General features: G+C 37.7%; 1 protein-coding gene and 1 non-coding gene across 4 annotated transcripts in view; both read right to left on the bottom strand.

Annotated features, from left to right (window-relative positions):
• Window positions 1-21,300, bottom strand: part of FAM184A (family with sequence similarity 184 member A) — a 189,366-nt gene that overhangs the window by 91,932 nt on the left and 76,134 nt on the right. The window lies entirely within an intron of this gene.
• Window positions 17,353-17,449, bottom strand: MIR548B (microRNA 548b). The gene has a single exon (NR_030315.1). It is a non-coding gene; the product is annotated as a microRNA 548b (primary transcript).

Raw genomic sequence — 21,300 nt, forward strand, 5'->3', positions numbered from 1 at the left:
AAGAAAAAAAAGAATATCCTGCTATTGGTTTGAGAGGTAAAGTAAGAGGTAAAATAAGAGGGCTATAATGTGTTATCTTGTCTGATCGCAGGACTCAAATACAGGTTTTTGAATAAGAACTTGGAAATTAATAAAAGTTAATGAGGTGAGTCAGGTAAGACTGGAAGATTATTTTATGCAACAGAAAATAAGCACTGTAGACTCTGGTTGTATTTGGTGAGAAATCCTCTTTGAAAAGCCAGAGCCTTCAGAGTCAGCAGCCATTGGAGGCCCAGGTTCCCAGACAGCAGTATCTATGTATGAGACTCAGGTCCTGAGCTGGGGTGCAGACTCCCTGAACATCTCCTGAGGTACGACTGCAGTCTCTCACATAGTGATCTCTATTATGTCAGTCCTTGAATGGACCTAATGTTCTGCCAATCACACATTCTCCTGTAATTCCTAAATTAGTTACCTAACTCAAGCATAATTCAAAGACTGAAAATAATTTCAATTAGCTATTTTGGATATAGACACCTACATTCTATTTTTTTCTTCATTTCTTCCTTTCACACCTAAATGTACTGTGAAAGAATGAAAAGATACAAATATGTTACCTAAGAGTTCCTCCATTATGTACTCTTCCCCTCCTCCTACCACAAAGTCATTATTAGATCCTAACAGTTCTACTTCCAAAATACATCATGATGTCTGCACTTACCTCTATTTCCATCACAACCACCCTAATGCAAGCCACCACCATCTGGCATTAGGCCTAGGACCATTGTAGTAGTCTCCTAACTGATCTTTCGGCTTCCCCTCATGCTGTGCCACAATTCATTCCTGAATCAGTAGCCAAAGTGGTCATCTCAAAACATAAATCATAACAGAACCCTTGCTTGCAGCCTGCCGATGGTTTCCCACCACACATGTACAGGAGGAAAAAAGTCAAACTCTTCTCTGTGGCCTTCAGAGTTGTATCTGATCTGATTCCCACTCCTGATTTAAGCTGGCAGCCACTTTCACCAAATGAATCAACAACCAACCACCAGAGGCAGGAGAGGAAGCAGCACTAGCTGAAAGAGGCCAGTATCACACAAGCTGTATAGGTAGAGGCTTTGTGCAAAACACATAAGGAATTTGAATTTCTAAATACACTGAGTTGTCTTAAAGGAAGGTACCCCAATATAATGAATCATCTAACAGTCAAGTTATAACATTGTGCCAAATTCAGTAAACACTCCTTTCTTTGTAGGTAATGTAGAACCAGTGAAGGGATTTAAGTAGAGGAATAACTTGATCTGACTTGCATTTTAGAAATTAAAATTCTGGTTGCACTGTGGAGGATGTATTAGATGAGATTTGATTAAAGAACAGCCAAAGGCATCGAAATACCTCAGGAAAAGAGCCCTGTGCTTCCTAACACAAACCTTGGGCTGGAGAACTGATACCTGACTGAAGAGCTATTTGGGTCATACATACACTCAGCAAGGGAAGCTGGTGGTTGCTTGAAAGTTAGGGGAGAGGTGCCCTCTCTCAGTTGTTGAGTCTGTTAATGAGGTCATGCACCTCTACAAACTTCATTCTATCTTCAATCAAGGTTTATACTTTACAAGTTATAGAGGACTTGTACAGCACCTGCTAACTGAAATTACTCACATACCCCCCAGACAGTGACCTGCTATTTCAGATAAACCTGAGCTGGAATGGGCTATTATAACTCAGGCACCTCTGACTCCTGTGTTTATAGCTCTGTTCTTAGGTCCTATCTTCCCAGCAAAGCAGGCACATCTAAAAACACATCACCCCAAATTTCTCTATGTAACAGCCTAACGCCAATTGTGCTTAACCACTTTTCTGCCCAATGACCAAGGGGATATTACACTTCCATTAATACCTTTTGATCACTATGGCAATATTTTCAATTTAGGGTAGAGGTAGGATGTAGTATAAGAATCACTAAGTGGCCCTTTAAAAAGACTACACATTCATTCCCATTCTCCATCCTATGGCCACCCACACACCCACAAAGGGAGGTAACTGAGTGGAAAAATGATTGACAACCACCTGCTTTACTAAATACAAAGATAAGGGCCAATAAAATTAATTCAGTTATTAGAATATTATGCCAACCTGTTTTTAAGAATTCTGAAACAGAGTAGTATTATCCCAAACAGAATTCTTAGAGAAGCGTCTGTGTTTTAAAATACTTTTCTGTTGTTTCCTATGGTGATAAACATTTTCAAGTCCCAATCTACTTCTCAGCAGGCACTACACATAGTTTAATGAGACGAATATTACGATGTGCTCCCTACTGAGAAAATCTCAGTGCCATAATAAAAGGATATGAAGTTAATGTAATGAAGTTTTAAGAAAAAACCTTAAAGTTCTCAACATTCAAATCCTTTAGAGAAAAAAAAAAATCATATATAATTTAATGACAACCTTCCCAATACATTTATCTTTCTACTATCCCATCTCCACTATTTTTTACAGAAAACGAAAACACTGTATGTAACCCTAAAAGGGAAGCTGAAATAAATGACTGAATTACAATCAAAATGAATCACGCTAGCTTAGCAATTATATACAATAATTCAGAATTGTTTTAGTCTGTTTGGGCTGCTATAACAAAAATACCATAAACTAGGTAGCTTATAAACAACAGAAATTTATCTCTTACAGTTCCAGAGGCTGGAAAGTCCAAGATCATCAGCAGACTGGGTGGCAAGGGCCTGTTCCGTAGTGATGGTGCCTTCTATGTGTTCTCACATGGCAGAAGTGGCAAATAAGCTCCCTTGGACCTCTTTTATAAGGGAAGTAATCCATTCATGAGGGCTCTTTCCTCATGACCTTAGCACCTCCTCAAGGCCTCACCTCTTAATTCTATTACACTGGGGATTAGATTTCAACATATGAAGTTTGGGGGACATAAACATTTAGACAAGAGCAAGAATTTCCTAAAGTGTGACATAAGAAGGGACTTTAGGTAATCAATATTTTTATTTGATATGTATGCATTTATCTTAACCGTCACTAAACCTAAGTGGCCCACCAAATCTGTGAAGTTATATGTTACTGCTTAGGATAAAATTAAAGTAGGCAGAGAAATTCACATAGACTTCTTGCCTTATAGGTCCTATACTCAGGAATATTCACGCTTTGAGTCTTGAGTAACTGAGCCTTGTGACAATTTTTTTTTAATAACAGCTTTGAGATATAATTTATGTAACATAAAATTCACCCCCTTTAAAGTGTACAATTCAGTGGGTTCTAAGCACATTGACAAAGTTGTACAACCATCACCACTACCAAATTCCATAATATTTTCATTGCCCTAAAAGGAAACACCACAGCCATCAGCATTTCTTCCCACTCCCCCTTCTCCTCACAACCCCTCTCAACTACTACTCTACTTTCTGTCTCTATGGATTTGCCTATTCTGGACACTTCAGAGAAATGAAATCATACAATATTTAGCCTTTTGTGTCTGGCCTCTTTCACTTAGCATAATGTTTTCAAGATTAATCTACATTGTAGCATATATCAGTATTTCATTCCTTTTTATGGGCAAATAATATTCTATTGTATGGATATACCATATTTTATTCATTCATCAGTTGATGTAACAGTTGGGTTGTTTCCATTCTTAGCTATTACAAATATGTAATGCTGCTGTGATCGTTTGTATATAAGTTTTTGTGTGGATGTATGTTTTTAATTTCCTTGGATATATACCTAGAATTGCTGGGTCATGTGGTAACTGTTTAACCTTTTGAGAAATTGCCAAACTGTTTACCAAAGTGACTGACTGCACCATTTTATAAACCCACCAACAATGTATAGGGGTTTTAATTTCTCCACATCCGTGGCAACACTTCATTGTCAATTTTTTTATTACAGCCATCCTAGTGTGTGTGAAGTGGTATCGCACTGTGTTTTTTATTTGCATATCCCTAATGACTACTGATGGTGACCTAATTCTTTGAAAGTATGCACAGTAAACATGCTATATATCTCTGGTGTAAAATCTCATATACTGCATTTCTTTGGGTATCACAACATACTTTTTTAGCCCTCTGATACTGTCTGTAATGGGTATGACTTATTATGGGCTTCATCTACCCTTTTCAGCTCCTGTCTTGGCTACCTTCCCAAAGGCATGCCCCTTGCCTAATAAATCTACCCTCTTCTTCCTCCTCCTACAAAATCCACAATCTCCACTTTTCTGGGGCCTGGCCTTTATTATATCTCTGCTCCCCATCTTGATAACAGATATGATAAACACATGCAGAAGAGTTTAGATTTGATGTGGTAAATAACAAAGAGAATATGAGTATTTATACAGGGTATATTTATTAGTACTACCATATCACTAAGCAGGATAAACTGAAATAGAAGAGCCTGAAAGGAAACTTTGCAAAAATAAGGTCTACATTGATTCCTACTTGGGGAAATGGAAAAGGAAAATCTAAAAGATATTTCAAAGAAAGAAGTGTAAATACTTAAAAGAAAAAAGAGGAAATTTTAATTCAAATGTTCTATTCTAAAAGATTTCATTTAAGATAGGGTCAGACAGAAATGCTAGATTGAGACAAGAAACTAGGTTTTTGGTTTATTTGTTATTTGGGATATGGGGGATGTCTGATGAAGAAGAAGATTAATTAGATTTTGGACACGTAGTACTGAGGTCATAGCAGACATCCAGGTAGAGATGACAGTCATAAAAGATGAAATAGACAGAAATTTCCCAAAACAAACCTAGGGTTCTATCGTCCCACAGTAACATTTTATGCTTACTAGAATACATTTCTTGTCTTATCCATGGACATTACTTGGCATTGGGCATCAAATTTACTGGCTACTAAATCATGGTTCTAATGGTTCTAGCACAGTTCATCAACTCACTGAAATCCTCAAGTAGCTCCAAAGACTAATGCTATTCATGTAACCTACTAGGAACTTCCTTTCCAAAGTGATGTAAATTGGGATGTTCACAACATGCCAAGCATTTATACATGATAGAATGAAGCCAAGAGACAAGAGAAGAAAAGCCCAACCATCACAAACATTCTGTAATGGAACCACTAGACCGCTAACCTCCTTAGAACCTCCCTGCCAAGGAACTATATCCCATATAAGCCTGGTCTGGTGGGCACTCACCACTGTGTACTAAAGATGTGACTTTCTTCCTTTCTGACACAACTACTACTCATGTCACCATCTGCCCGTTTCTCAAACAAGCTAACAGGATAGAAATAAGAACTTAATCATATTGAGAAATTTATTCCACAGTATGTTTAAGAATTAACCCATTTATGCCGAAGGTTGCAATTTTTTGAATTTTTGGAATCAGACCTTGAGCAGTAGGATATAAATAATTCACATGCTTAGCATTTCAATAATGGAACAAAAGGCATAAATGAGTTAATTAATGTAGTCTATCTTGAAACCAATAAATGCTGCTGCCCAAATACACACATACACACTATTACTAATGAAGTAAAGATCCAAATCTTGGAAGTAATAATCCAATGGCCTTGAAATTATGGTCCTCTTTCTTACTGTTCCAATAGGTAAAAGACTGGGAAGTGTCTAAGCAGTGACAATATCCAAAGTGCACATGATTATATAGTGTAAATTCTAAATTTCTGCTATGCTTACAATATAAAAGTCTTTCTTACTACCATATATCTAAGAATTCCTTTGTTTGACTACAGGACTGAGGAAAAGCAACCCTGTTAATTTAGAGATTCTACATTTGTGTTTAAAATGGCAAAGAAGGCTGGGCGCAGTGGCTCATGCTTGTAATCCCAACACTTTGGGAGGCCAAGACAAGAGGATTGCCTGAGGTCAGGAGTTCAAGACCAGAATGCTCAGGGTAGTGAGACCCCCAACTGTACAAAAAAATTTTTTTAATTATTCAGGTGTGGTGGTGCACACCTGTAGTTCCAGCTACTCGGGGGAGCTGAAGCAGGAGGATCACTTAGACCCAGGAAGTGGAGGCTGCAGTAAGCCGTGATTGAGCCTGTGCACTCCACCCCAGGTGACAGAGGGCAACCTTGTCTCTAAATATAAATAAATAAATAAATTTAAAATAAGAGAAAATGGCAAAGGAGAGGTCTTTCTTAATGACGCATATCACATTACATTACCAACTCTCTTCTGTGTTTTTTTTTTTTTTTACTCTCTTAAAAGTTTGTGGTGGCTGCTCTGATAGTAGTGGGTTATCAGAACACATTAACATTAGTGTTACTGAAGTTAGTATAAAACTCCCCCGCTCCTAAATGACTGGCTTTAAAAAAAAAAAAAAAAAACTTTGTGGCTAACCACTGAAAGAACTGTAAATATGGGTTAATGTTTTTCCCTATTCCCTGAAAGTGTACATTGTGGCAGACTATATTTCCCAAAGATGGCCACAATATTTCCCATCCCACATGCTCTTCTACAATGTGACCTGCCACTCTCTCATCAAGAAGTAGAGTCCAATTCTCCTTCTCTCTTTTTTTTTTTTTTTTTTTTTTTTTTGAGATAGAGTCTTGCTCTGTCGCCCAGGCTGGAGAGCAGTGGCGTGATCTTGGCTCACTGCAACCTGTACCTCCAGGGTTCAAGCAATTCTCCTGCCTCAGCCTCCCTACTGAGCCTCTTGCCTCAGTAGCTGGGATTACAGGTGTGCGCCACCACATCTAGCTAATTTTTTTGTGTTTTTAGTAGAGATGGGGTTTTGCCATGTGGGCCAGGCTGGTCTCAAACTCCTGACTTCAGGTGATCTGCCCACCTTAGTCTCCCAAAATGATGGGATTACAGGTGTGAGCCACCGTGCCCAGCCCAATTCTCCTTCTCTTAAATCTAGGCTGGCCTCAATGATTCACTTGTAACCAATAAAATGTGGCAAAAATGATAGTGAATGACTTCTGAGTCTAGGTCAGTAGGAGCCTGGCAGCTTCTTTCTCAGTTTCCGGAACACTTAGTCTCCAGGTGCTGCCATGCTATGAAAAGCCTAAGCTACAAGGAGAGACCTACACTGTCCTCCAGGTCCTCTGGTCTAGCATCCCAGCTGAGCCCAGCTTTCGAGTTATCCTGGTCTAGGTATCAGATGAGTAAAAAAGTCAACATGGAAGAGGATTCTCCAATTCCAGCTGTTTCCATCCCAGCAGGTCCAATTATACCCAGCCATTTGAGTCTTCCATTCTGAGGCTCCAAATAAAGCACACAGCTGTCTCTTCTCTGAATTCCTACCTCAATAATTTGTAACCATAATATAATGGTTATTTTATTTTTATTTTATATTTATTATTTTATTTTATATTTTATCTTATTTTGAGACAAGGTCTTGTTCTGCTAACAGGGCCTTGCTCTGTTGCCCAGGCTGGAGTGCACTGGCACAATCTCAGCTCACTGCAACCTCCACCTCCCGGGTTCAAGCAATCCTCCCACCTCAGCCTCCCAATAAGCCACCACACTCAGATAATTTTTTAATTTTTTGTAGAGATGAGGTCTCACACTATATTGTCCAGGCTGGTCTTGAACTCCTGGACTCAAGCAATCCTCCCACCTCGGCCTCCCAAAATGTGGGGATTATAGGTGTGAAACACCACACCTGGCCAGTTGTTGTTTTATACAAATTTTGGGTGGTGTAAAAGCAGTAGATTACCACAGCAGCGACAGGTAACTGGAATGAAGGTTGATAACCTGTCTGTCTCTTCACTTTAATAAACATTCCACATTTTTCTTCCAATGTATTTTACTGAGATTTTATTTCCAATTAATTTTTTTGCCAATAATAAACATCCACTATTAAGTTCTCCATTTATTTTGACAGTTCAACTTTACAAACCATTACACATCTAACAAAACCATTTCCCAGGGCTTGGTTTCCAACTTATTTGTTTTAAAAGCTTCTTTCTTAACATCCTCTCCACTTACTGGAATTATTTCAGTTTTTCACCCTTTCTTCCAATCTATGTCTAAATTAGGTCATGACTAAAGACATAATTACTTGAAGCAAAATGCTGTGCACCCAACTATAAACATCATAAGTAAACATTCTGTCAGGTATAATAATTATTCAGCACTTATTATAAACAAAGTATCATACCAGTACTTCAGATGTTTATAATTATACATGCTTTATTAATGAAAATGGCTATATTGAGTTTTATATATCTACGCTCACAAGTATTATTTTGCCAGAAAAGCACATTTTAATATTTTCAACAAAAAGACTATTGTTTGGTATAATTTTAATATAAACTTCAAACCATTGCATTTTTATAAATAAAGGCTATCTTATAACTTGCCACTCCATTTAATAGGTATAAATTGGTCACTAACAAATCACAGTGTATATGACTCTTTGTAACTACCTGGCAGAAAAAAACTTAATCCTGCTGCCTCTAAGTGTTTAGTCACTTCGAGATTAAAGTTTAGATTTTGGTAGATATTTAGTTAAAACCAGGTACTGTTTTTAGGTACTGTTTGAGGCCAGCCTAGATGACCGTGTCATCTCAGTTACAATTCAAAGCTCCTTCCTGTAATTCTTTCCCTCCTAGTATCATGTCTATTTTCACCCTGCTCAGCCTTACAGGAGTGGCTACAGGGATACTGTTTTCTTGCTGGCATATATGAAAAGGGAACGAGCTGTATATCTGGTCAATAATATCTTTTTGCCAGTTCTAGAAAGTGTAGTGGAAAAACATGGGCAAGGCAGCTAATGGTACTGGCAAGACAGTGGCTAAAGCAACAGCCCACAGTCTAGTACAGATAAAGAATGAAATGAAAACAGACATGATGAACAGGGAGAAAATGAAGAGGCTAAAACACTAAAGAAACTGAAGAATTGGTAGAATTTGAAAAAGGGAGAAGTGAAAGTTTAAGACATTCATTCATTTAATCAACAAGTATTAATACCTTCTAACATGGTTTAGATCTGTGGCCCCACCCAAATCTCTTGTCAGATGGTAATCCCCAGTGTTGGAGGTGGGGCCTGGTGGGAGGTGACTGGATCATGAGGGTGGTTTCTAATGGTTTAGCACCATCCCCCTCTTGGTACTGAATAGTGAGTTAGTTCTCAGGAGCTCCGGTTGTTTAAAACTGTGTAGCACCTCCCCCTTCTCTTTCTTCCTCCTGGCCATGTGAAGCTCCTCACTCTCACTTTGTGTTCCATCGTGAGTAAAAGCTCCCTGAGGCCTCCCCAGAAGCAGAAGCCGATGTGCTTCTTGTACAACCTGCAGAACCATGAACGAATTAAACCTCTTTTCTTTATAAATTACCCAGTCTCAGGCATTTCTTTATAGCAGTGCAAGAATGGACTAATACATCTTCCATGTGGCTGGAAGTTCTGGAGTTTAAGATTCAGAGGAAATGTGTATGAGTAGCTTGATTAAAGATAAAGATGACACAATTTGAAAATGTCAAGAAATGCAAAGCCAGGATGTTAGTGAACCCATGGACTGTGTCTCTTCAATATTAAGAAGCAACAGGGGAAGGTATAGGTAAAAGAGCTAGTTGGCCTAAACCTCAAGGAGGAATAGTTTACAAGTTGCGGTATCGGAAAGCTAGAAGAAAGATTACCATCTTTAGGACCTTTGGTTGATGAACTGTGTGAAAATGAGCTGTGTTCACCTGCAAAGGCCACAGGAAAAGCAATATCCTGAGGAGAGAGCCAGGATTACTTTTCTTTCTTTCTTTTTTTTTAATAGAGACAAGGTCACACTGTGTCATCCAGGCTGAAGTGCAGTGATGCAATCACAGCTCACTGTAGCTTCAAATTCCTGGACTCAAGCAATCCTCCTGCCTCAGCCTCCTAAGTATCTGGGACTACAGGTGTGTGCTACCATGCCTGGCTAATTATTTTTCTTTTTTTTTTTTTTTTTTTTTTTTTTTGTAGAGATGAGCTCTCACTACGTTGCCCAGACTGGTGTTGAACTCCTGGCCTCAAGCAATCCTCTCTCAACCTATGGGCCACCACACCTAAACTACTTTTCAACTAAAGTGAGGAGACTGAGTAATTTATGAAGAAGTGTGGCTGCAGAGAAGTTTGTTCAGCATGAAATAAGAGCTCTACAAAGGACTTATAAAAACGTGATGAGAGAGGATGGGAAGGGCTTGAGGAAGGGAGGGATAGGGAAAGATTTGTTAAAGGATACAAAAGTACCCTGATCTGATCACTAAACACTATATGTATCAAAACATCATACGTACCCCATCAATATCTACAATTATTTGTCAATTGAAACAAAAGAAAAAAATAGGGGCAAGGCATAGTGGCTCACACCTGTAATCTCAACACTTTGGGAGCCTGCATTTGGACCTGGGATCCAGGCAGACAGAGGTATGAGGCAAGATGGACTGAACTGCTTGAGGCTTCCAAGACACACTCTAGTCTTACCATTTTGAACACAGCCAACTAGATTTTACACAGGATTACAAATATGCTTGAGAGGTGATCAGGGTTAGCCTTCTTACTTACAAATGTATAACTTTGAAAAAGTTATTTTAAACATCTCTAAGCCTCAGAGTTTTTTGGTAAAACAAAGAGAAAAATAACTACTTCAAGAAGTACCATGATTAAACAGCATAATGTATGTATAGTGCTTAACACAATAACGCACAATACACTTTTCAGTTTAATTGTTTTTGTTGTTACTGATGTGGCCCTCCAAAGAAATTGTAACCAGGTACACAGGGCATAAGATTGGTTAGTTTTGTCCTGGCATGGTGGCTCACATCTGTAATCTCAGCACGTTGGGAGTCCAAGGCAGGCAGATTGCTTGAGCCCTGGAATAACAGCCTGGGCAACATGGCAAAATCCTGTCTCTATAAAAAATACAAAAATTAGCCGGGTGTGGTGGTGTGAGCCAATAGTCCCAGCTACTCGGGAGGCTGAGGTGGGAGGATCACCTGCGCCTGGAAAGGTTGAGGCTGCAGTGAGCTGTGATCGCACCACTGCATTCCAGCCTGGGTGACAGAGAGAGACCCTATCTCAAAAATAAAAAATAAAAAAAAGATTGGTTAGTTCCACTGATCCCACCTCATGGTAAAAGCAGTTGCACTTGGTAGGAGAAACAAAAGGACTCAGAATGCTCTGAGTTGGTCAGTTTCACTCAGATAAAGCTAAACATTAAGAGGTTTACCAAAGACTGCTTTGTCTCAGGTATTTTCTGTCTTATACATCTGTTAGATTGCAAGCTCCTGAAGCTTGACTTGTGTCCCCAAGAGTACATATAGGAATAAAATAAAACAACATTCTATACCTCAGGGATGGTAATTCTAGAGGGTACATTTAACACAGTATCTCTCCTTCTGTTAAATAACTTCATTGTTAATTTTCTAAAAGACATTTAGATTGAAGAGTCATTCAGATTTAAGATTAAACATCAACAAAAAGGTGAAACCCAAAAAGGTGAAACCCCCCCACCAAAAATCCATATACCTAGTAAATAGGAGAATATTGGTATATTTATTCATGCTATTCATTATTTTTCAGATGATAAAATATGCAAAAATTTTGTATAAATGAATAATCAGTTAGAAAAGACAGTACAATCAAATAACTCACTTAAATACATCACATGTTGCTGTAAAATTTGTGTTGTTTAACATTTGTTAAATATCTGTGTTTTTCTAGTTGCTGTTTAAAAAAACTTAAGCACAATAAGACTTTACATTCTAAGACGATATATTCCATATTATTAGCCACATGACTGCAGAACATACTGCATGTTAAATTCCAATATCCAAATATAGAATGTCTTAGGCAGTTAGTCTTACTGGTTTCTATCTTGATATATGCCTTCCTTAAATGACCTAGAAGAATGTGCATGTTCAGTGTTTTTACTGGTAGTGTATATTCATAACATGTAACTGCGAACATGTTTGCAGTTCAACCCCAGCTCTTCTGGCACGTGGCCTCGAGCAAGTCACTTAACCTCTCTAACATTCAGTTTCATGGTGAAATCTAGTATCAACCTCTTGGGATTATGGCAAGGATGAAATTAAACAGCATAAGAAAATAGCAGGTAATAGTTGCTCCAAAGTGGTATTTACTGTTATTAATTAGACTCAGTATTCCTCCCTCATAATAAAAAAAATGCGTCTTATTTTATAACTGTTCCTATAATTCAGCTTTATCAGTTGACTTGCTTTGTCATACTAATAAACCAGCCTCCGGGTCACTGCCCTCATCAGTGTAGATTTAGCCATGAGACTCATAAAGCTCTCTTCCATCTCAACCCTACTATCTTTGGAGAGTTCAAAAATGCCTGTGGAACCCAAAATATCAGACTTATAGTTCTTTGGGATTCTAAATTCTAATAATTTTCACCCCCCCATAAACAATCTCAAGACTGTACCCCGGATCTTGTTATAACTTATCCACCTCTGAAGTCTTCATATAGCCTCCTCTCAGGCTACCACTCCTTGCCTTTATCCCTCAACTTCTAGGCATTATCTTCATACATACCAATTGTCCTCTCAATCCCTAAGTTTTCTCTTAATCTATTAGCTCCATCCTACCTCACTTCCTTCCTTACACAGTAACTAATGGTAGATTAACTAAATTACTACCTACAAAAGCTCTTTAATTCTCTTAAAATGCAGTTCTTCAGTTCTTCAGCTACACCTACCAGGCAAAACTCAGGCTCTGGATTTGTAACCTGACTGCTTCTCTCCTCATATGCTCAACCATGGTCCTCTCCAAAGGACTGCATAGGACTTTCAGAAAACTGCAAAGCATTCAAACTGAGGCTGGGCATGGTGGCTTATACCTGTAATTCCAGCACTTTGGGAGGCCAAGGCAGAAAGACAGCTTGAAGCCAGAAGTTTGAGATCAGCCTGGCAAACATAGTAAGATCTCATCTCCACACAAACACACACACAAAAATTAGCTGGGCATAGTGGCGCATACCTGTAATACCAGCTGTTCAAGAGGCTGAGGTGGGAAGATCCCTTGAGTCCAGGAGTTTGGAGCTGCAGTAAGCTATTACTATGTCACTGGACTCCAGCCTGGGAGAAAGAGTGAGACTCCATCTCTTAAAAACAACAACAAAAAACTGATACCAAATACCATGTTTCAATTCCTCTTGGGACAACCAGATGTCTTATGGATGCTTTCCTCTGTCTCTGGTCAGCTCTTTCCTTCTCTTTTCCTCAGCAACTATTCCAAATGTTTTCTACTCTGCTTAAGGCCCCAACCAACTACACATGATTTTAATTACCATCTACATGCTAATGACTTTAACAATTTTATTTCTACTATTGATCTCTCCCTTTAGCATAGACACATATCCAAGTGCTTACTAAATGTTTCTACCTAGATGTACATGGCCAACTAAAACTCTCAGAACTCTCCCATCAATTTTGCTTCTCTTGGGGTAACCATCCTCCAAAATAACCCCTAGTGATCTCTATCTCCTAGTATCAGAATCTTTCTGTAGTTATTTCCTACACTGTACCATGGTTGGTCCATGTAACCAATAGAATACAGCAAAGATGATGACATGTCACCATTCTGTGATCATGTTATGAAAAGACTATGGCTTCCATCTTGGTCTCTCTCCCTTCCCACCCCTCAGATCACTTACTATAAGAAGACCCATATGGTAAATAAAGTCTCCTAACAGCCACATGAGTGAACTCAAAAGTAAAATTTCTAGCCCTAGTCAACTCTTTACAGAGACTATCGCCCTGGCCAGCAGCTTGAATGCAACCTCATGAGAAGCCGAGCCAGAACCACTCAGTTAAGTGACTCCTCGATTTCTGAATCTCAAAGTGTCAGATAATAAACACTTGCTGTTTTAAGCTGCCAAATTTGGGGATAATTTTTTACCCAGCAATAGGTAACTAACACGTGTCCTTCCTTTATTCTTATCTCAGTCAACGTTAATAGTTATCTAGTCCATCTAGTCACTCATTCACTCTCTCATTCATTCAGGAAACACCTGAGTACACAGTATATGACAGACCCGTTATCCTCAATCTTCTCCTACAACAAACTGTCACAAAGTGCTGCCAAATTTATCTCCAAAATGTTTCTCAAATCTCCTCCTCAGATCTGAGATTTCTCAAATCTCCTCCTCAGATTTGATATTTCTCAAATCTCCTATCTCTCTACCACTATTGTCCTAATCCATGGCCCTCATAATTTCTCACCAATACTATTACAATAGCTTCCCATTTAATTTCCTTGATTCCCATCTGTCTCTGCCAAGGGTGATCTATTTAAGACACAGAAAAGCAGTAGTACATGAGAGCTAAGGCAGCTAAGAATCAGGAGAAAGTTCTTTTCACGAATAAATGACCCCAGTATCTTTGCAGACAAGTAAGTTAAGCTTGATAGTTTCAGTAAAATAGCAGCTTATCCATCCCATGTGTACAGGGAAGGAAGAGAGGACACACGGTCCACAGCTGTGAACAATTCAGAGAACAACATCATATAGTGCAGCAATACTGAGTGATCAGACAAAATTGGCCTACATGACTTTGTAGAGAGCCATGTTGTGGTAACAATTTAACACCAAGTGTCTTAAAGCAACACAAATGTACTAACCTTAGAATTCCTGAGGTTAGAAGTCTGAAAATAGTTTTACTGGGCCAAAATCTGAAGGCTCTTGGGGAGAACTTGTTTCCCTGCCTTTTCCAGCTTCCAGAGGCCACCTGTGTTCCTTGGCTCCCTCTTTCACTTAGAAGGATCCTTGTGATTACAGTTGCCCATCCAAATAGTCAAGGATAATCTCCCCATCTCAAGATCCCTAACCTAACCACATCTGCTAATGCTAATGTCAGATAACATCTTCACAGGTTCTAGGTATTAGAACGTGAACATCTTTGAGGGTGCCATTGTGCTGCTACAGTCCAGTTCCATAATTTTCTCTAGCAATGCTCCACAATCCAGAAGTAAGAATAGAGAGAGCAAATAGCAACAGTGACTCAGGATTGAAGGTTAAAGATATACATGGTCCTAAATAGAGCAATATTATAGTAATGAGCTTGGCTCCAGATCAAATTGTTATTTATTCCAGGACAGTTATCTTTGCCAACTCCCTCATGATCACAGTAGTACTCTTAACTGGGTTCCTTTTTCTGATAATTACTAGGGGGTTGAAACAAGAAAGTGTGGACAGATATGAATTGAATTGCAGAAGTTTTCTGTATGTTGCATAAGGTTAATTCAGAAACATCCAACCAAATGTGCTATAGCCTCGAACTGTATAAGATTTCAAGTTATCTTTAGGTACATAGACAAAGACTTTTAACAAAACCAACTCCCACAGTGACAATTTATGCTAGAAAAGAAGTAACTGCAAACATGTTTTAGGCAAATGATGACTATGAAAGATTTTATTTAAACTAAAATAAATTATTTTTTAAAGGTTTTGCTCCATGCCCTGGAATCATTTACATATTTTTTTTCCTTTTTCTGATGTAGGGCAATGTGATAGATTCAAGTTTAGATCTTGAAGATTACAATTAACATACAAGGAAAGAATTTATCCCATGCTTATGATTGTAGGGTGGCCTGTAGGTGACTGGCAAGTCACACAAAAGATTAGTATTTCAGCCTCCATTATCCTTTCCACCCCTTTCATCTGAGGGTGTTTACTGAGATAATGAGAGTCAAAGTCACACTCATGTGAGGGTGTTTAGGGTGGTAATAAGAGTCATAGTCACTTAGGCCCCTAACAATAGCTGATAAACAGCAGGAGCTAAGAAAACAGCAGATGCAAAGTTGTGCTTCCATTTTTAGATACAGTTGATCTTCTTTACTCATGGACTCCCTATTTGTAAATTATCTTACTTGCTAAAATTTACATGTAACCCCAAAATCTAACACTCAAGGTGTGCTAAATAACCTTTGTTCAGGCATGAGTTATAGTGATATTTGGCTGTGGCTTCACTGTTAATGGATCAATATATATTTTAAAAGGTGTTTTAAACAGAAACACACATAAAACAAGGTTATACATTGATCAGTTGGTGAAAATGTTGTGACCAGAGGGTGTCAGGAACCTAGCTCTGTATTCTCCCTAGACCATGCAATACAACGACCACGAATAATGAGAACTGACTATATTTTATTTGCTGCTCAACCTTTACTTGACAGCTATGGTCCCCAACAATGTAGACTATATATCCATCAGAAAAGAAAATATAGCTGGGCACAGTGGCTTGCACCTATAATCCCAGCTACTCAGAAAACTGAGGTGGAAGGATCACTTGACCCCAGGAGTGTAAGGTTGCAGCAAGCTATGATGGCACCCCTGCACTCCAGCCTGGGCAACATAGCCAGACTCTATCTCTAAAAAATAAATAAATAAACAAACAAACAAAATAAAGACATATAAAAACCTACTTTATTGTTTTTTTGTGTGTGGGTTTTTTTTTTTTTTTTTTGAGATGGAGTTTCACTGTGCACCCAGGCTGGAGTGCAGTGGCGCAATCTCAGCTCACCACAACCTCCGCCTCCTGGGTTCAAGCAATTCTCCTGCCTCAGCCTCCCGAGTAGCTGGGATTACAGGCATGCACCACCACACTCGGCTAATTTTTGTATTTTTAGTAGAGACAGGGTTTCACCATGTTGGCCAGGCTGGTCTCGAACTCCTGACTTCAAGTGTGATCCACCCACCTCGGCCTCCCAAAGTGCTGGGATTACAGGTGTGAGCCACTGCGCCTGGCCTAAAAACCTACTTTATTGTTAAAGAGTATGTCAGCAGAGGCTTAACCAAGTGGGGAGGGGATAGTGGGTACAAACTGACTTCTCTCTCCTGCATCAATTATCTCCTTTAATCTTTATAATAATTCTATGAAGTACGCTTTGTCATTCTCATTTTACAGATGAGGACAAGACAGCCCTGAGTGGTTAAAATATGTATTAAAAGTCAAACACTAGGAAGTGGTGAAGGTGAACTTCAAATAAGGGAATGCCTAACTTACTGAACCACACCTCTGACCCATATGATGGGCACTGCTGCCTCACTGGGCCGTTTGGCTCTGGGAACAATGTGGCTCTCCGGCTGCCCATGAGAAACCTAAACCTAACACAAACACATTAACTCCGGGGTTTCCAAGACTGAAATTTCCTTTTACCCGCTCTACCCCCCAGCCAAATATATTAGAGATTTGTAACCAGAATATGTCAACTGAGTCATCAAAACCTTATTAGAGAATTTAGAAGGTATCAGTATAGTTTCTTTATCCAAGAAAAGCACGTACATAAGTTCTACCCAAAAAGAACGAAACCAAATAGAAAAATTTGCCCATGATTACACATCTAAAATTTGTCAGAATTAATGTACTGATAAATATGTTGTAATTAAAATATATGATTAATATATTCCAGTTACATTTTCTCAAGTCTGTTGGAAAATATATGTGAAGTATTAGGTTGGCACAAAAGCAACTGAGGTTCTTGCCATTGAAAATAAAGGCCAAAACCACAATTACTTTTGCGCCAACCTAAATATATAGTCTGAAATGGAATAATAAATAGTATTAAATAATTAATAGTACCAAGCACAATGTCTTTCATAAAGTAGGCATTCGACAAGTTTACCAAACACATAGACCTATATATTCTACTTCGGTCATATCTAAGTATATTTTATTACTCTGAGTAGACCATTAAACACACACACACACACACCTTCCTCCCAAAATTCACTAGGCGAAACATCTAAAGGTAGGCAAAGAATACTATTTAGTATTTTGGTCATAAAATGTTTTCTGAAAGAAATGAGAATCTTTAAAACTGTGCTTAAGGAGCTACAGGATGAAAAATGCAAATACCTGTGAACACATAGACACACATTCGCCAGAATAAACAAAATCTGCTCAACCACCAAGGCCAATGTCTAGAATTTGTAAATATCCAAATGCGACACTTCATTTTATAAGTAAAAAAGACATGACAAGTAAAAGGGCAAGTAACAATTTATTCAGAAATTAAATATCAGCATTCATGGATTTGGCCTAATAGGACTAGCATAAGTTTGGTCCAATTTCCTATATATGCACTGATGATCCTAACAATGATCTGGAGTTGATGAAGAACTCCAGTGTGATATATGAATGGTATGATGTAAATGTAAGTATACTATATGAGAAAGTGAAAACTTATTAACCCCTATGGAAACTTCTAGTTAACTAAAATAATTCATTCTCTAATAATTTCGCATAAATAGGAATTTACCCTGTTATTTTACTAAAATTATCAATTTTATTGATAATTTAAATATTAGTAATGCACTTTATAGATGAAATGTTTTACTTTCCAACTTCCTCAAACTTTGGTATAGAGATGGTACATGTAAATAAGGAAATACAGAATTAGCAATTAAAAAAATCAAAGTACTATCTCCTTTACAATTAAATGAGGTAGCACATGGTAGCCAAGTCTAAAATATCCAAATCCCACATATGATTGTTAATCACTAAGTCTTGTTTTTCCATGTACTATAGATCCTTTGATAGTTTCAGCTTCCATTTGCATCTCAAGATAATAGTGTAAGATACAGGATAAAAAATTCATATATTCAACTTCACTACTTTTTATACATTCTCGTTGAAGTTTTGGTAGAAAAGAAAGATGTAATCCTTGGTGAAATAAGGTTACAAATGACAGTTGTTCACTGATGTAATTTAGTTAAAAGTTAAGAATCAGAGATTTTCTAAAATTTTTGCTTGGTCTTAAAGGTTAAGCATACCAAAATACAACTGGCAATCTCCAACTTGCAAATATCATTGTTTCAAAAATTCATTTTTATATATTAATTGATTGGCAGCCAAAGAATATTTTCCAATATTTTGAAGGACCATTAACTCTCTAGGTCAATCTAAAAAGCCCCCTATGGTTTAGACCACACTTGACATATAAAATATAAACCTAATAGTTTGATATGATTCCCCCATATCAAACTACCATTTATAACATTGTTTTTCTTTATTTTTATTTTTTAAAAAGTAGAGATGGGATCTCAATGTTGCTGTTTTTATTTATCTATTTATCTAATCCTGAAATCAGTTAGTGATTGTCTCCCATAGGTGTCTATCTCCAAAAAAGGGACATGGGGCACCAATTCTGACATTTACTTAATGTCCTTTACATTCTGAAGTGGGCTGCAGGATAGAAACTTCCTGTGGTGAATAAAAAGAATGGCGTTACGAACTCCCGTCATTCACATCCTTTCCATTTCATGGCATAATATTCAAATTTATTTGAATGCTTATGAAGATTTTCTTTAAAAAAAAAAACTCACAAGATCAATTGAAAGGGCAAAATAACAGTATTTTATCAATACTCCCCTGGCCCCCATTACCTCCTATTTTCTTCCACAAACTAATTAGCTTTATAGACCCAGGTTATTCTTCATTCCCATCTCACATTTAAGAGATACAAAATTTTCAAAAATATCACAATTTTAAAAGTTAAAGTATAGGGAACTTATTAATTAAAATGAAGAAATTACTCCAGTCACATATTCCTGCTGAATCTTTATCTTTCATAACACTTTTTAAGACTGGTGATTAGAGGCTAGCAAAGGATTTTCATAAACTAAACAGATAGTGAATCAATAAAAACTGGAAAACTTGCAATTTACTGTGTTTAGGAATGGGGTCTAAGCAACAATCTAATCAAGAATGAAAGCAGTCAAAAGAAAGACATTTAAAATAACCACAGTAGTAATTTTCACACCAAGTATGGCAGTCTCTAAGTTAATGTTATTTTAAATACGTTTCAGTTTGGAATGACTAAACCTGTTAATAAAAACATGAAAATATTATGACATTTAGCTGACAGCACACACAATAAACCTCTGTTACAAAGTGACCAAGTCATAGTATACAAAATATACAACCTATAAACCCAGAAAGTTCCACAGTAAGTATACAGAGGAGACACAGGTTGGTTTCACCCTTATCAAAAATTTGATTCAGATGGTAAGTAAAACATGGTTCCAACATGGAAAAACAATAACTCTGTGGTCTCTTATTGAATAAGTAATATTAGAAAGAAGGTAGACACAGGGAAAAGAGGCCTGTTAGTGTGGCCACCCCCACCTAGACCAATCTAGAGAGCTGAATGTGAGTCCAGGTTGAGTAATCTTCAAATGGCACCGAGCCCTCACACCTTCTATACTTATAAAATGAGAGGGTCAGCCTGGTCACAGTCTAAAGTCTAAACCTTTAATCTTTTTTTTTTTTTTTTTTTTTTTGAGATAGAGTCTTGCTCTGTCACTCAGGCTGGAGTGCAGTGGCATGATCTCAACTGCAACCTCCGCCTCCTGGGTTCAAGCAATTCTTGTGCCTCAGCCTCCCAAGTAGCTGGGATTACAAGCACCCACCACCACACCAGCTAATTTTTTGTATTTTTTGTAAAGACGGGATTTCACCATGTTGGCCAGGCTGGTCTCGAACTCATGGCCTCAAGTGATCTGCCTGCCTTGGCCTCCCAAAGTGCTGGGACTGTAGGCATGAGCCAGGGCACCCAACCTAAACCTTTAACCTTTAACTCTAAATCTTTAACTCTAAAGGAAGTCCCTTTATAAGTTTGTGACCAGTTAATTAACAGGATACTATGCTTTTGTGTCCATTAGTAAAATGCAACAAATTAATCCAAACCACTCCACTATGACTAAAAGATTACATCCAAGCCACTGCATAACAGCATGGCAAAGCTACAATGTAACAAAGAAAAAGAGATGCTGCATTTGGCATGTACTAGTGCTAAGGTGAAACACAGCCAATTGCTATGTTTTATGAGGCCACTTACCATTCTTGTTCAAAGACTCAAGTCATAAGCAATATAGAATTATTATGAAAGAGTATCTAGATAATTCAAACAAACCAATTAGTGAAAAATCATTTATTTCATGTACAGAAAATAGTATTATTTGAAAAATTCACTGGTTTTGGTGTTATATAAACACATTCTGGTTTTGGATATAGTAAAAGCAGAGTTAGTATAAAATGACTGATCACAAGGCTTTTTTATATTTGCTAAGAAACTAGTATATTAATTACCTACATTCTGAAGTGTCAAATACTTATAATGTAGACAAAGAACATTATATTTGTATTTTTTACATCAAAAATACATTAAGAAATAAAATAGCTTTTTGAAGCAGTTTAAAGGGCAGTCAATAAACATTTACATATTTAGGAATAATTTAACTCAGCTGAAATGATCTATCATTAACCCAGAAGAGTAGCAGATACAATTCCTAAAAAGTACTGTCTTTCTCTGCTGTATAACAAAATTACTTGCTGTATCATTATGACCACCATCTTCTTCAGTAAATACTTATTAAGCTTTGGTACTATGTG

This window comes from Homo sapiens, chromosome 6 (genome assembly GCF_000001405.40).
Source record: "Homo sapiens chromosome 6, GRCh38.p14 Primary Assembly".
Lineage (NCBI taxonomy): Eukaryota > Metazoa > Chordata > Mammalia > Primates > Hominidae > Homo > Homo sapiens.